The sequence below is a fragment of the Homo sapiens genome, chromosome 16, assembly GCF_000001405.40.
Source record: "Homo sapiens chromosome 16, GRCh38.p14 Primary Assembly".
Taxonomy (NCBI): Eukaryota; Metazoa; Chordata; class Mammalia; order Primates; family Hominidae; genus Homo; species Homo sapiens.
In genome coordinates, this window is record NC_000016.10 from 81,359,684 (window position 1) to 81,377,403 (window position 17,720).

At 41.6% G+C, this 17,720-nt stretch overlaps 1 protein-coding gene across 2 annotated transcripts in view; it reads left to right on the forward strand.

The window, feature by feature from the left end:
* The window catches only part of GAN (gigaxonin), a 75,848-nt gene that overhangs the window by 44,722 nt on the left and 13,406 nt on the right, over positions 1-17,720 (forward strand). For both annotated transcript variants that reach the window (NM_022041.4, NM_001377486.1), the window contains 5 exons: positions 2,816-2,928; positions 4,111-4,260; positions 5,291-5,427; positions 5,667-5,795; positions 17,536-17,645. In NM_022041.4, coding sequence (NP_071324.1) covers positions 2,816-2,928; positions 4,111-4,260; positions 5,291-5,427; positions 5,667-5,795; positions 17,536-17,645 — 639 coding nt within the window. The remainder of the gene's footprint in view (positions 1-2,815; positions 2,929-4,110; positions 4,261-5,290; positions 5,428-5,666; positions 5,796-17,535; positions 17,646-17,720) is intronic.

Sequence of the window (17,720 nt, forward strand, 5' to 3'; positions counted from 1 at the left end):
TGAGGGATGCATTCCAAGACCCCCGAGTGGTTGTCTGAGACCACAGATAGTGCTGAACCCTGTACATACTGTGTGTTTTTACTATACATCCATACCCATGATAAAGTTTAAGTTCAGCACAGTAAAAGATTAACGACAATAACTGATAATAAAACGACGATAACAATATACTGTAATAGTTATGTGAATGTGGTCTCTCTCAAAATATCTTACTTTACTGAACTCACCTATTTTCGGACTGCAGTTGACCATGGGTGATAAAACCACAGAAACCAAAACTTCAGATAAGGGGTAGCTACTATATACACAATATGTCTTTTTTTGATATATGTTGGATGGATGGATGGATGGATGGATGGATGGATGGATGGATGGATGGATGGATAGATGGATGGACAGACAGATAGGTAGATAGATGATTGATAGACAGGCAGGTAGGTAGGTAGATAGTGTTCATTTAGATTTGCCACTTTCTTCGTTCTTCCTTCTTAACTCCTCAGACTTTCCACCTAGGATCATCTCCCTTCTCTCTGAAGTTCATCCTTTTGAATTTCCTTTAATATGGGTCTTTTGGTGGACAACTCTCAGATTTGATTGCCTGCAAATGTCATTATTTTGTCTTCATTCGTAAAGGATATTTTTGCTGAGTATAGCATTTCAGCTTTGGTATTTATCATTTTTCAGCACATTGAAGTCATTCCACTGACTTCTGCCTTCCATTGTTGTGAAGTCAGTGGCAAGTCTAAAAAATCTCTTCTCTGGTGTGTATTTAAAATTTTCTTATTATTTTCCATCTTTTTGTCTCACTGTGCTGTTTTCTTGATTATTATCTTTTGATTTATCTTCTTTTCTCCTTAACTCTGATTAATCTGCTATTACATTTATCCATTGATTTTTTTTTTTTAATTTCTACAAATTCTTGTCTTTTTACAGGAGAATAACTTAATCCACCATTACCTTCAAATCCTCTCTTATTTCTATAGTTCCCTGTTACCTGGAGTTATCTTCCAGTTAATTTTTATTTTTTAAACATGATAAGCATTTGTTTAAATTATCTTTGTTTTTTAAATAAATTTTAGACTTTATTCTTCATCACCCAACTTGAAAAAAATCATCTTTCTGGTTACTATAATATTTGAAATCTTTGCAAGACTACTTCCTATGATCTGCTTCTGCTGGTCTTTTCTTAGAGTCTAATTTTTGGTATGTCTGATATCTGTGGCTGCATGCTGCTCATTTATTAAACATTATTTGTAGCAGCCGGGCGCAGTGGCTCACACCTATAATCCCAGCACTTTTGGAGGCTGAGGCGGGTGGATCATTTGAGGTCAGGAGTTTGAAATCAACTGGCCAACATGGTGAAACCCCATCTCTACTAAAAGTACAAAAAGTAGCTGGGTATGTGGTGGCATGTGCCTGTAATCCCAGATATTCAGGAGGGCGATGCAGGAGAATCGCTTGAACCCAGGAGGCAGAAGTTGCAGTGATCTGTGATTGCACCACTGCCCTCCAGCCTGGGCGACAGAGCAAGACTGTCTTTAAAAAACAAAAAAAATCAAAAAAAAATTATTTGTAGCAATAACTTTCTGCCTTAGATGTCCTGGGATGTTAGAATCTAAGGCTTAGATTAAGGTCCTTCTACAGAAGTTTTGCATTTGTTTCTGCCAGTTGACTGAAAACACTACTAATTTGGTATTAACTGTAAGTTAAGTTCAAGGCTCATGATTTCCCAGATAGCAAGGAGATTTAAATCTGAGTACGAATTCTGGTTGGCCTTCATCCTGACAGTGTAGAACTTTGGAGAGGATCTCCTGCCAGAAGCCACGTTTTCTGTGGACCTGGAGCTTAAACTTCTGTCTTTTTCATCCCCAGGACAAAAGGTTTAAATTTTCCTAGATTAGAAATGCCCTCAGTGTAAAATGGTTTTCATGCTTGATAACCTCTGTAGGTCCTAATTTTCCCTTCAGTTTTGCCTTGTTATCTTGTTGGCTTCTCCTCTTCTAAGAAGATTATTATTGTTGTTATTTTTGAAACAAGATCTCACTTCGTTGCCCAGGCTGGAGTACAATGGCATGATCACAGCCCACTTCAGCTTCACACTCCTGGGCTCAAGCGATCCTCCCATTTCAGCCTCCTGAGTAGTTGAGACTATAGACAAATACCACAATGCCCGGCTAATTTCATTATTTTTTGTAGAGATGAAGTCTTGCTGTGTTGCCTCCTATGAACCTCCTGGGCTCAAGCAGTCCTTGTAGCTTGGCTTCCAAAAGTGCTGAGCCACCACCACCCGGCTAAGATTATTTTTTAAATGTTTTATCCAGCAAATTGTTTTTTGCAGAAGAATAACCTAATACGCCATTACATGAAATCGGAAGTTCAGTTGCTCTTAGATCCTGTTTTGAATAGAAAGTGCACACGGATGCCTCAGATCTGGGTATTCCTGGGGTCTAGAATGAACAGATGTGCGCTGCGGTGCAAAAGTTGTATGAGAATCCCAGAGGCTGAGAGGGAACAGAAGAGATGAATTGAGATGGCCCAGAGTTGCCTGGTGACTGAGCGGGTGACGCCAGGCTTCCTTTTTCATTGTAGGGTGGTGGAAATCCCCTCAAAGACAGTAATGAGTAAAGCAAAATGGTCAAAGTGATGGTTTGGCTCCATCACCAAGGATCCAATGGGATGTGATAAAAGCCCTGAATCCAAAGAGAACATTGTTGTCATCAGAGAGTTTCTTCAGATGCTGTTTCTATATATGCTGTGGCGTTTATGGGTGTTGAAGACTCACATTTCATATTTGTGTTTCCTTTGATCTTTGCAGAAGGATTTTTGTTTGTATTCGGGGGCCAAGATGAAAATAAGCAGACTCTTAGCTCAGGAGAAAAGTATGATCCAGATGCAAATACATGGACAGCATTGCCACCTATGAACGAGGTAAAACACTAGTTGGTTGGTTTGTTTGATGTGTTTCTCTTTCCCCTTAGCGCTTCTGTTTGTTTTGTGTCTGAGTTCAGGGAAGAAACGGCAGCCTTGTCAAGCCACCTGCCTCATTCGCTCCAACCTCTCCTTCTAGTGCCCGGCTCTCCTCCCCTTCCTGGCCCTCACTCCTTCTGGCCTCCATGAGTTTCTGAAATCTTCCAGGAATGCCCTCACCCCAGCCTTCACATTTATCCTGCCCTGTGCAGATGCCAGCGTGGCCTGCCCCCTCCTCGCAGCACCTTCTCAGCGGGCCTCCCTCCTGCCTCTTAGCTTTCCTGTCCCCGTCTTCGTACGACGTCTCACCATCTCACGGACCAGGCATTTAAAGTTTTTCACATAAGCTCTTTGATGGCAGAGAATTACATGTGTTCTGGTCAGTATTTCATTTTCAGCACTAGAATCGTGCTTGGCACGTAGGGTTTACTACATAAATATTCATTGACAAACGGACATGAAACACCTAGGGCTTCTATGATCCCAAATAGCCTTGGCCTGACCCTGTCCTCCACAGCCCTTTCTGCCATAGTTTATACTAGCCTTTCCCACGTCAACTTGAAAACACTGCCCTTTGTTATGCAAAAATAATTGTATTGAACCAGAGGTAACAGTTCATTTTCTTGTTGTGAGCTATTATGGGTTAAAAAGTGAGGATTTTCTGATGAACTCACCATGTATTTCTTAAGTTTGTTTTGAGAAGTGGCTTTGGCCTCTCTGGCTGTTGTGCTGGAAGAGTGGGCTGTTAGGGAAGCCAGAAATCTTTAAGAAGCATTACCGGAGAAATGGTTTTGAACGTGGTACTTCCATGCTGGAACACTGGGAAAAAAGATTTCTCTAATTTTTAAAAATAGTTTCAACTTTTATTTTAGACTCGGGGATACATGTGCAGGTTTGTTATGTGTGTATATTGCATAATGCTGAGGTTTGCAGTAAGATTAATCCAGTCTCCCAGGTACCAAGCGTCGTACCCAATAGTTAGTGTTTCAGCCCTTGCTCCTCTCCCTGTCTCCTTGCTCTAGGAGTCCCCATTGTCTATTTTTGCCATCTTTATGTTTCTCTAATTTTTATTAAGTGTATGAATATCAGCTTTCAATATGATCATTGGCCTTGTGTGTTCAGGGATCGCTAATGTAATTTCAGGCAAGACATAACTTCGGAATTGTGGAGATAGATGGGATGCTGTACATTTTGGGAGGAGAGGATGGTGAAAAGGAGCTGATTTCCATGGAGTGTTACGATATTTATTCTAAAACCTGGACAAAGCAACCTGATTTGACCATGGTCAGAAAGGTGAGGACTGCATTTTGTGATAACTAGTCTGTGTACACATTGGATTTTAAACTTAATGTGTCTTCATATCCTGAATAAACCTTTAATATAACTGATGGTGTTAAAAGAATTAACTTTATAGAACTCTCTTTATCGGTAGTTTGCCTTCACTGTCATCAGCCACACACCAAGATAGGAAAGTGAGCGTGTGTGAGAGTTTATCCTGCTTGTGGGCCCTGTGCAGCACCGCTGTGTGTCAAGCTCCACATTTGAGTGTGCAAATGGTGCAGCAGCCACATCTTCCCAACCTATTTTCTTTCTGTCTTTCCCTCTCTTACTCTCTCTCTCTCTTTCCTTTTGTTGTTGAGAGAGGGTCTTACTCTGTTGCCCAGATTAGAGTGCGGTGGCGCCATCTTGGCTCACTGCAACCTCTTTCTGCCTCAAGCAATCCTCCCACCTCAGCCTACTGAATAGCTGGGACTACAGGTGTGCACCACCACACCCAGCTAATTTTTGTTTTTTTAAGTAGAGATAGGGTTTCACTATGTTGCCCCGGCTGGTCTTGAACTCTTAGGCTGAAGCGATCCCCCATCTCTACAAAAAAGTTTTAAATAAAGTTAGCCGGGCACAGTGCTGTGCACCTGTAGTCCCAGCTACCCAGGAGGCTGAGGCGGAAGGATCTGTTGAGCCCAGGAGTTTGAAGCTGCAGTGAACTATGATGGCACCACTGCACTCCAGCCAAGGCAACTGAACGAGACCCTGTCTCTAATAAATAAATAAATAAAAATGAGGCTTTTGAACTTCTTTCAGTTAGTGAAATAGTATCAGTTGGAGTAAGAGCTCCTTTTCTGAAGATTAAGAATATGTGTCTTACTTTGCTCTTCTCATTTTAAAGTCCGGTGTTGTAATACTGAAAAGCACCATCGTTTTACGGTTAGAAATCAAACCCCTTCCTAAATCTCTTTAAGTATGGCCCAGACAGTTTAATATCTGTTCACCTGACCTGAATGAGAAATGTTGCCTCTCCCCCACCATTGTTCTCTGCTTTCAGATCGGCTGCTATGCAGCTATGAAAAAGAAAATCTACGCCATGGGTGGAGGCTCCTACGGAAAGCTTTTTGAGTCTGTAGAGTGTTATGATCCCAGGACCCAGCAGTGGACTGCCATATGTCCACTAAAAGAGAGGAGGTACGTGGCTGTGGGGTGGACTTTGTAGATTCCCTTGCTGTTCACTGGGTCTGGAGCCCCTTACCCTGCCTGGCTTTTGTTCTTTTCTTTCAGAGTAACCTTTTCTTTGACTTGGCATTTCCTGAGAAAGGAAGGCCCACGTAGTAATGCTGCAGAGTTAAACCAGCATAAGAGGAACGCGGGAGTGAGATCTCGCATTGTACAGCTTGTGCCTGATAACGCTGTGTGTGGCCTTTCAGGTTTGGAGCGGTGGCCTGTGGAGTTGCTATGGAGCTGTATGTGTTTGGGGGAGTCCGAAGTCGTGAGGACGCCCAGGGTAGCGAGATGGTAACTTGCAAGTCCGAGTTCTACCATGATGAGTTTAAAAGGTAACTAAGAATGGTTTCACATAGCTACTGCAACTTTTTCTTTGTGCTTTCAGTCGTATTTTAGCTTTGTTTAGTTTTGTTTTCAGTCACTTTATTAAATTATGGATTTAGGAGATAACGTCTCATGCATACTAGATATTTATTCAGTGACTTCACAAGTGCTAGTAACTTAAAATGTCTGCAAATAGAAAATATCTCTAATATGTAGATGAGATCTTGACGCTTAGTTGCTTAAAATCATTTATTGGCTCCCTATAGCTTTTAGGAAAAAGTTTAAAACTCCTTAACTTGTTGGGCATGGTGGCTCACACCTGTAGTCTCAACATTTAGGGAGGTAGAAACTGAAGATTGCTTGAGCCCAGGAGTTAGAGATTTGCCTGGGCCACATAACAAGACCCTGTTCTCCAAAGAAAAATAAATAAACTCCTTAACTTAGCATATATAGCCTTTTGTGATATGGCCTTTGCTTTTTCTGCTACTGACCCAGATACTTTATACCGAGCCACTTTCCCCTGCAAACATGTGTGGTTGTCTCAGCTCTGTTCGTATTGCTGCTACTTGCCTAAAAGCTCCCTTCCCGCTGTCCATCCAGTTAGCTTGGCCTTTTTCAAAACTGCTTAGTTATCAAAACCTAGAGAAAGCCTTCTCATGCCTCCTAGTCTGATTTTTTATCCCTTCATCTATGATTCCATGCCCTCCAGACAAGTCTCTGGGGTTGTAGCTGTTAACTGCAAGCAACTTCAGGGCAAGGTCCACCTTCGTCAGCTCTGTATCCTGGCTTCCAGCATCCTACCTGTCTGTATCAGATGCTTAGTAAAATGTTGATTAAGTGGCTGAGGCTTGATTTCTGAGATTCTTAAAACCTCTGACAAGTGCCACGTATGTCTTGTAGGGTAGATAACATCCTTCTCGATGTCTTCTCTCTTTCCTCACACATTTTATTGTTGTAACCACTGAGCAGTATTCTTATTGCAGTAATATGTTTAAATCCTAAGGGGAAATTGCTGTGCTAAACGTAATTTTATTAGAGTAGTTCAGTCGTGCTACCAGAAGAGGGTGCCATAACATAATGTTTAATTTCATGCTGTTTTAGATGAGGGCACGCAGTGAGCAGTTACAAAGATGCTGCAAATGCATGTAAATGCTGCCTAACATGTATTTTAAATTTAGGGTATTTGCATAGCCTTTTTTTTCAATTACAGGAATAGACTATCTTAGGAAAATTTATTAGAGAGCAGTTTAGAGAATACTTGCTGTGGTAGGGGCAGATTTTCAGACTTCTCTACATTTTTCCTTCCTTGATACATGACTGGGAGGGCTGATTGCCCAAGGGATGAAGTCTTTTTTTTTCTTTCTTTCTTTTTTGGAGACAGTCTCGCTCTGTCGCCCGGGCTAGAGTGCAGTGGCGTGATCTCGGCTTACTGCACCATCTGCCTCCCGGGTTCAAGCGATTCTTCCACCTCGGCCTCCCAAGTAGCTGGGACTACAGGCGCATGCCACCATGCCTGGCTAATTTTTGTATTTTTAGTAGAGGCAGGGTTTCACTATGTTTTCCAGGTTGGTCTCGAACTCCTGACTTAATGATCCGCCCGCCTCAGCCTCTCAAAGTGCTGGGATTACAGGCATGAGCCACCGCACCTGGCCTATCAGGTTGTTACATATTTGTACTGGATAAGCTTTTAATATAACTATCACTTGCTTTAAGTTCATAATAATTAAACGTAAGACTGTGGTTCCTTCTTTGCTGTTTAAAAGCACTTCTCGCCAGGTGCACTGGCTCCAGGCTATAATCCCAACACTTTGGGAGGCCGACGCGGGCAGATCACTTGAGGCCAGGAGTTCAAAACCAGCCCGGCCAACATGGTGAAACCCTGTCTCTACTAAAAGTACAAAAAAAAAAATTAGCCAGGCATAGTGGCACGTGTCTGTAGTCCTGGCTGCTCAGAAGGCTGAGGCATGAGAATTGGTTGAACCCAGGAGGTGGAGTGTGCAGTGAGCCGAGATTGTGTCACTGCACTCCAGCCTGGGCAACAAAGCGAGACCCTGTCTCTAAATAAATAAGAGCACTTCCAAATAAAATTAATGTATATTCAGTTCCTTATTTCTAAGCTCTCTGATGTTTGTAAATAGAATGAAGAAAGCTGTTAATTTATCTTACCAATATAAGATTCTAACATGTTTAGATAACATTAAACACACATATAACACCAAATGCCATGTATTTAATCTTCAAAACAGCACTCTGAAGCGCATGTAGGTACTGTTACTATTCCTATTTTCCATATGAGGAAAGGGTGAGCGGTGTGCCCACAGACACACAAGGAGCAAGAAGCTGAGGTGGGATCTGAACTCAGGCGTTCTGGCCCCAGAGTCCACCTTTTCAACTACCACGCTAGATTGACTTAAAAATATAGGCTTTCCTATAACTATCGATAGAACAAAATAACATGTAGGAGTAGTTTATTTCTTAAAAGATCAGACGCAAATGTGTTATATTGGCATAGTGTGGAAACTGTAGTTGCCGGATGAGCAGTCCATATTTGATTGGAGACCATGTCGATTGTTTTTAAGTAATCTCTTGTCTTTCCTGTCTTTGTTCCCTATTTTTAGGTTAAAACTTTCTGGGAAAAAAGCCATATCTTATTCTTTTCTGTTTTTCTGAATAAAAGCAAAACTGCTTGAAAGGAAAGCAAAGAAATTGCCATAAAGTATTACCAAGCCAGAGCAACAGCTTCATATACCCAGAATGACGGTTTCTCTATTTCTGTTCCTTGTGTCCATATTCTGTTAGTAACACTACTATCCTCCCAGTCATCCATGTTCAAAAAAGGGTCATCTTGGCTGGCACAGTGGCTGACACCTATAATCCCAGAACTCTGGGAGACCCAGGTGGTAGGATCCCTTGAGCCCAGGAGTTCAAGACAACCCTGAGTAACATAGTGAGACCTTGTCTCTATGAATTTTGAAAAAATTCAAAAATGAGCTGAACATGGTAGTCCACGCCTGTGGTCCCAGCTACTTGGAAGGCTGAGGCAGAAGGATCACTTGAGCCTGGGAAGTGGTGGAAGCTGCAGTAGACCATGATCGTGCCACTACACTCCATCCTGAGTGCCAGAGCAAGACCCTGTCTCAGAAAAGGGAATCATCTTGAATTCTGTCTTGTACTTTGCAACTCATCAGTTGCCAGGTCTGGTCCTTTTTTAAATCTTGGTAGCATTTTTCACATTTCCCACCTTCCCTGCCCCGCTGCTACCCTCACAGTTATTCCTGCATCTGTGTAGTGTCATTAGCCTCTGGCCAGCCTTGCCAGTGCAGTTACTTATTTGTGGTTTTGAAAGATGAACCTGACAAAAATCAGCCAGGCATAGTGGCACATACCTTTTTGCTCAGAGTTTTTGATTGCCCTTCTCAGAATTCTTGACTGTTTCCCACTGCTTACTAAACAAAGGTAATAGTTCTTAGCCACCTACTCAGGGTTCTCCATGATTTGAGGTTAAGAAAAAGTTTCACCCTTTTTTAGTATCTTTCTTTCACATATCGTATACTCCAGCTCACTTTTTAAATCCTCTTGTGTTTTACTGCCTCCGTGCATTCGCTTAGCCTAGATGCCCCTCTACTTTAATTTTTTACAGTATATAAGTTAAATTAACTGTTCTTTGAAGTTGAGATCTGTCAGTTTCCTCTTTTGATTCCTGAATATATAACTAGAATAGACATACTTGACAACTGGCAAAATCACCATGCTGGTTCTCTGACACATGGATTGGGAGCCACCATGACAACAAGGGCTAAGTGGAAGTCCCCGGAGCTCTGCTTCCCTACCAAAATAGAAAACCAGAAACAATACTGCATCCTGGGTGAATCTGCAAAAACCATGCCACCATGAAAGAGTAGAAAATGCAGGAGAGGTGATGCCTATCACATCCCCACTTAATTCACCTAGAAAAAGTAGAAAAGTAAAGTGGATCTCGGAAAATCTTGGAAAATTTTTATTTCAAACATGTTATCAATTTTAAAATGTTTGTGTAGCTTGTTTTTAGGTTTTCCTTTTACTTTGGGTTTCTTTTACTCTTTTCTAGCTTCTTTGGGTAGAATTCTACATTACTCATGGTAGATCTTTTGCTTTTTTTTGAGACGGAGTCTCACTCTGTTGCCCAGGCTGGAGTGCAGTGGCGTGATCTCGGCTCACTGCAAGCTCCACCTGCCGGGTTCACACCATTCTCCTGCCTCAGCCTCCTGAGTAGCTGGGACTACAGGCGCCCGCCACCGCGCCCAGCTAATTTTTAGTAGAGGCAGGGTTTCACCGTGGTCTCGATCTCCTGACCTCTTGATCTGCCCGCCTCGGCCTCCCAAAGTGCTGGGATTACAGGCATGAGCCACCGCGCCCAGCCGATGTTTTGCTTTTTTAATGCACACAGAGAAAGTTTTCATAAACTTAATCAGGTGATCATACTGATCCCAAATTCTTTCCCAGACGTAATATCCTCACACAAATGTTGTATCTTTATGAGGCACAGTTCCCAACCTTAGTATGGCAGCCGTTGACATAGCTAATGTATTTTCTTCATACCAATTTGCAAGGGTCACCAGAAGCAGTTTGCTTTTACTTGTCAGGGGCAACAGTATGCCTCCACAGCCTTGCCTCAGGGCTGTATCAACTAATATATAATGGGCTAATGTCGGCTGTATATTAGTCCACAGAGATTTTAATCATCATGATGTTCCACAAAACATCTCACTGGTCTACCCCACTGACCACATTGTGCTGTTTGTATCTTATGGTTAGGAAGAAACAGGTACTTTCAGATGCCTTTGTAAGACGTGTGAACTAGAGGATAAAAGATGAACCCCACCCCCAACCACATCTGTTTCAGTCATGGTCCAGTCAAGTGGCAAAAACCACACCAGTCTTTTGAACAGGGAAAATGTAATATATGTAATTACCACTAGTAAGAGACAGCTGCTAAAAGTGGGAAAAGAGGACTCTGAAAACTGTAGAAATAGCTAATGTAGGAAGCACAGCTGCTACCTTTAGGGCAGAGGGAAAACACCCAAGGAAGGAACAAATCAGGAAGTATTTTCCCCATCCCACAGGGCTGAGATTCATCCCATTGGAAGTGTGTGTGCTGAGGCCGCTGGAGAGTGTGCACCCCTGGTCTCCTGCATGCTGGTAGGAGCAAGCACAGGAGGAGTGAGAGGAAGGCAGCCGACAGCGGCATAGTGGCCCTTTGGCCCCTGGCCTTGCCAGTCTGCACCCTCTGTGAACAAAAGACCAGCTTCTACACTGGGTTCATTTCTCCCTAGTATTTTCTGTTTCATTGATTCCTACACTCATCTATATTACTTCCATCCTTTTACTTACTTTGGGTTTCTTTTACTCTTTTCTAGCTTCTTCAGGTAGAATTCTAGATTACTTATGGTAGATCTTTTGCTTTTCTAAGGCACACCATGAAAGCCTTCAACTTTCCACAGAGCACCACTCTAGCTGGACATGCTGATATGTTTTATTTTCATGACCATTCAGTCTGCAGTATCATTTTTCCTTCTTCAGATTGGATGGTTTCTGTTGCTCTGTCTTGTTTGCTGCTGCTTTCTTTTGTTATTTCCATCCAGTGAATTTTTTATTTCAAATTTATGTTAGTTATTTATTTATGTTAGTAATTCTAAAATGTTTGTGTACTTTGTTTTTAGGTTTTTAAATTTTCTGTGCTGAAATTTCCTATCTTTCCATCACAAGCATATTTTCCTTTCCCTTACTGAGCATCACTGTGGTAGTTGTGTTCAAGTCCTTGCCTGTTAATTCCAGTATCTGAGTCATCTCAAGAGTTGGCGTCTATTGATTGTTTGCTCCCTTGAGAAATGGGTTCTAATTTTTCTGGCTCTTCTTCTGTTGAGGAGTTCTGGACTGAATCCTGGATATGGTTACTATTATGTTTTTGAAGCTTTGAATTTTCTTATATTGCTTTAGAGTGTTGCTCTGAGTTTTAGTCAGCAATTGACTTGGTTAGACTTAAATTGCAAGCTGTGCCACCTGCCATGGGTGGCAGCTGAAATCTCAGTCCAGTTCTCGAAGCCTCGGTCATAAGCATAGATGGTTCCAGGGTTAGTTGAAGACTTGAGATGAGTGGATGCGCACAAATTGAGGGGTGCTTCTCTACCTCTCCTCTTTCTCAGGTTCTCCACCACACTTTGGAGATCCTGGTTGCCCCAAGACCCCTTTTCCTGATTGCTGAGTCCTGTAGCCAGAAAGATGGCCATATTTTCTCTAGGGGTTTAGCTATCCAGAGCTGCCCCAGTGAGGCTGCCTTCAGAGAAAGCTACCAAGAAACAGGAAACTTAGTCCATATGGGTTGCTTGCTCAATTAACTTTCCATTTCTTTCCAGAATCTACCTGCTTTTCTTCAGTTTCCAGAGTGCTCAGGTAGTTGTAGTTTGTCCAGAGTTTACGGCTGACACTTGGAGCAACTGAGGAGCCATTTGTTAAGAGTTACTTCTGCCATACTGGAAGCAGACGCCTCACTACAGCTCTCTTTTTCTTTCCTCCTCTCCTTTCTCCTCAATTGATTGCCCTCTTTTCCTCTATAGCTCTCTTCCTCTCTCCTTTCCTGTCATTCCCCTTCTACTTCCCTGTCTCTGAAGTTCACTGTTGTAATCCATGCTGTATTTTAAAGCTTCAGACTCAGGGCAGTCTTAATTCTGAGTTACCAGAGGGTGCATCATTATAGCCCCCATGTACTGACAAGCCCGTTTGAAAACATTATAACTGAAGACATGATATTGCCTTGTTCATTGCAAAAATTAGTATCGTTTAATGATACCTTGTAAGTACTAGAAACTATGCAAAATACTTTACATTGATATTCATTTCATCCTCACAACAGTCATTTGAGGTTGTTGATGGTATCTGGTATCTCACTCGACAGATGAGGAAGCAGGCTAGGATAGCTAAATTGTTCAGGGTCGGTGAGATGATAAATGACATGTAAAACCTCATGGCCTTTTATACCTGTTTTATAAGCAGCAACACCTGAAGATGTGATTCAGTTAAATTTTCAAATTAGTTCTGTTTCATTTGAAGCCTTGTCTTTACCTAAAATAGATCACCTACGCGTATTTTTCTGAAACCCAGGAACTGAATCATTGATGTGCTTGGGACAAAACCTGGTAGATCATCTATGTAGTCCAGTTTCTTAGGTTAATACAGTCATTCCGGGGATGAACTATGTTGGTTGGTTTCATTCAGAATCTGGGAAGAACTTAAATGCCGAGATGTAGTTATTTATGTTTAGGCCTGAAGACGTGAAATGTGAATAAACCAGTATTGTAGTTTGATGTTTTTCAAACATTATCTTTCAAAGGTGTGTTCAGGGCCTCCATTTTCACTTTCAGCACAAGCTTTTAGATTTTTCCCTTTTCCATTTTATTGGAGGCATTTGGGAGGCAGGGGCCAAAATCTGTATCCCAGTCCCAGCAGACTACCTGACACCCATCAACATTCAGATGTTAGTTGAATCAAATGTAGATGAACGGCTTTAGAAACATGGTGCTTAGCTTTGTTTCTGAGTTGTTCTGTGGTCATTAGACTTTTGTGTTTATTGGAATTCAAAATGTGGAAGCCACCTGCCTTAGAAGAGTCTAGGAAGAGTATTCATTGAAATAAAAATGGTGTTCTTCAGGAAATAATTGTACATTTCTCTTTGACATTGAGATGCCCTGGCTGCTTCACAGCATAGAGTAGGGATGATGGAGTGATGACCATATGACTGTGTGCTCCAGTGAGGGTAGGCCTGGACCTTGGTAACTCTTAAGACCATTTAGATGCATTCCCAAGGTCCTCCTGAAGTCCACTGTGACCTGGCTATGCCTGTTAGCTATTAACAGACAATTGTTCATTTACATTACCCTGAGGGAACATTATTATTACATAGCAGGGTCTAGATTTACTCTTTAAGAAAAAGAAATAAAAAACTTTTATTTTGGAATAATACTGTAGACTTGTAGAAAAGTTGCAGAAATAGTTAAAGAGTTCCCATTTCCATAAGCCATTCAATCAGCTTCTCCTAGTGTTAACATCTTACATGACCGTAGTACAAGCATCAAAACCAGGATATTTATGTTGTCCAAAATTATTAAGTAAACTACAGACTTACTGGAGTTTCACCAGCTTTTACTCTAATGTCTTTTTTCTCGGTTTCCAGATCCAATCCAGGATTCTACCTTGCATTCAGATACTGTGTTTGCTTAGACTCCTTTAATCTGTGATAGTTCTTCATTCTTTTTTTTGAGACAGAGTCTTGCTCTGTCAGCAGGCTGGAGTGCAATGGCGCGATCTCAGCTCACTGCAACCTCCGCCTCCTGGGTTCAAGTGATTCTCCTGCCTCAGCCTCCCAAGTAGCTGGGACTACAGGCACGTGCCACCATGCCCAGCTAATTTTTGTATCTTTAGTAGAGATGAGGTTTCACCATGTTGGCCAGGATGGTCTTGATCTCTTGACTTCGTGATCCACCCGCCTGGGCCTCCTAAAGTGCTGGGATTACAGGCGTGAGCCACTGCACTCAGCAGGTGGTTCATTCTTTCCTTGACTCTCATGACCTTCATCCTCTTGAAGGTTATTGGTTCGTTATTTTTTTGTAGGATCTCTTAATTTGGATTGATCTAATGATTTCTTGCAATTAGACTGAGGTTATGCAGTTTGGCAATACCACAGAAGTCATATTACACACTTCTCTGCATCATATCAGGGAGAACACGTTGATGTGCCTTATTGCTGGTGACATTAACCTTGATGACTTGGTTAAGGTGGTATCTGTTAGATTTCTCCACTGGAAAGTTAACTGATTTTCTTGTTGTAATTATTAAATACTTTTGTGGAGATCATTCGAGAATTTGCAAAACGATTTTCTCCTGAAACTGTCAAGCACTCATTTGAGCATCCACTGGTAGACCTAGCCTGCAGAAGTCATTACTGTGGTGTTTGCCTGATGATGATTTTGTTCCCGTCATTCCTTCTGCATTTATTAATTGGAATTTTTCGGTAAAGGAAACCTGTCCCTTTTTCCTGTTAATGTTTTCCAATTATTTATAGTATATGGATTCATGGATATTTATTTTATTTCCTGAGTTATAAATCCAGCACCATCATTATTGATTTTCTTGCTCACATAGTTCCAGCCTCGGCTGTCAGTAGCTGCTTCACTGTGGCTTCCGTGTCCTTTGACACACCCCCATCCTTTTTTAAGCACTTCCTATCTGGCACGACAGGATGCCCCAGGCCCCTCTTGTATTTTCTCTGCCTCAGCTCTGGGATCAAGCACTTCTTCATAGAGCCTCAAATCCTTTTAGTGGTTATTAAATTGATTTTCAACAGAGGTGCCAAGGCAATTTAGTGGGGGAAAGAAAAGCCTTTAGCAAATGGTGCTGGAACAGCTAGCTATCTGTATGGAAGAAAGTGAACTGTGATTCATGTCAGACCCAAAAAATTAACTTGAAATGTATCATAGACCTAAATGTAAAAGATAAAACTAAAAGTTCCAGAAGAGAGCATAGGAGAAAAATCTTCGTATTGGGGTAGGCAAAGATTTTTTAGAATGACACAGAAACTGTGACTGTAAAAGAAGAAAAGGATATATTGGAATTCATCAAAATTAAAAACTTCTGTTCTTCAAAAGAGTCCATTAGGAAAATGAAAAGGCCACCTACATGCTGGGAAAAAATATTCATAATACATTTATCTAGCAAAGTATCTATATCCACAGGATATAAAGAATCTGACAATTGAATAAGAAGAAGACAGTAAACCCAATTAAAAAAAAAATTTAGAGACAGTCTTGCTACGTCCTTTTTTTTTTTTTTAATTTATCTTTTTTTTTTTTTTTTTGAGACAGGGTCTCACTTTTGCCCAGGCTGAAGTGCAGTGGCATGATCTCAACTCACTGCAGCCTTGACCTCCTTGACTCAAGCAATCCTCCCACCTCAGCCTGAGTAGCTGGGACAGATGCCACCACATTTGGCTAATTTTTGTATTTTTTGTAAAGACAAGGTTTCGCCATGTTGCCCAGCTGGTCTTGAACTCCTGGGCTCAAGTGATTCACCTGCCTCAACCTCCCAAAGTATTGGGATTGCAGACTTGAGCCACCACACCTGGCCCCCAGTTTTAAAGTGAGCAAACCTTTAAACAGACATTTTATAAAAGAACATAAAATGGGGCTGGGTATGGTGGCTCACACCTGCAATCCCAGTACTTTAGGAGGCCAAGACAGAAGGATCACTTGAGCCCTGGAACCTGAGATCAGCCTGGGTAGCATGGTGAGACCTCATCTCTATGGAAAAAAAAAAAATTCATTAGCTGGGTGTGGTGGTGTGCACCTGTGGTCCCAACTATTTGGGAGGGTGGGGTGAGAGGATCACTAGAGTCCAAGAGGTTGAGACTGCAGTGAGCTGTGATTGCACCACTGCACTCCAGCCTGGATGAGTGACAGAGTAAGACCCTGTCTCAAAAAAAAAAAAAAAAAATTCCATAAAATGACCAATAAGCTCAGGCAAAGATGCTCAACATCATTGGTCTTCAGGGAAGTATACGCCATTAAAGTAGCCAAAATTAAAAATATAATACTCAGATCTCACAGTGATACTGAGCAGTTGGAATTCTCATGCATTGCTAATTGGAGTGCAAAATTATGGCACAAAGCTTTGGAAAGCAGTGGGGCACTTTTTTTTTTTCCAGTAAACAATAACCTTACCATATAGCCCAGCAATTTCATAAGTCCGCAAAAAAGACTTGCTCTCTAATGTTCCTGACAGCCTTATTCATAACAGCCAAAAACTGGAACGTCAACAGGTGAATGAATAACAAATTCTGGGGCTGGACTCTGTGGCTTACGCCTGTTATACAGCATTTTAGGATGCTGAGGTGGGCAGATCACCTGAGCCCAGGAGCTCAAGACCAGCCTGGGCAACATGGCAATATCCCATCTTTATACATACATATGTGTGTGTGTGTGTGTGTGTGTGTGTGTGTGTGTGTGTGTGTGTATGTGTGTGTGTATACATATATGTGTATATGTATATACACACATATACATATATATGTGTATATGTGTATATATGTATGTATAAGTATATATTATATGTATGTATATGTATATATACATACATATATGTGTGTATATATGTGTGTATATATGTGTGTATATACATATGTGTATATGTGTATATATATGCACACGCATACACACACACACACACAGGAATTAGCTGAATGTGGTGGTGCACACCTGTAATCTCAGCTACTTGGAAGGCTGGGGTGGGAGGATCACCTGAACTGGTAGGTTGAGGCTGCAGTGAACCATAATTGTGCCACTGCACTCGGGAGGCCCTGTCTGAAAAACCAACAAATTCTGGTACATCCGTATGATGGAGTACTGCTTAGAAATAAACAGAAATGAATGACAGATGCAAACAACAGTGTGGATGAATCTCAGAAACCTTGTGCTGAGCAGAAGCAGGTTGGAAAGCACATGCTGTTTATGACTCAATACATGTTTCATTCTAGCACAGACAAAACTCCTATCTGTAGCGACTGGCAGCATGTCGGTGGTTACCTGGCAGTGGAACGTGGGGTCGAGATTGGCACAGTGCCTGATACTGCTGATGACTCACCAAGCTTGCTGTGTCAGTCTTCCTAGATGTTGTTGTCATCCTTTTGATTTCCTTAATTTTGTGCATGGGCTTTGTTTTCAGGTGGATCTATCTTAACGACCAGAATTTATGCATCCCCGCCAGTTCCTCTTTTGTTTATGGAGCTGTACCTATAGGAGCCAGTATTTATGTTATTGGAGATCTTGATACAGGTAAGAGTGTTACAGTGATTTTCTTGGAACTGTTTCCTGGTGATTCTGGGTACATTTTCTCACCCTTGCTTATTT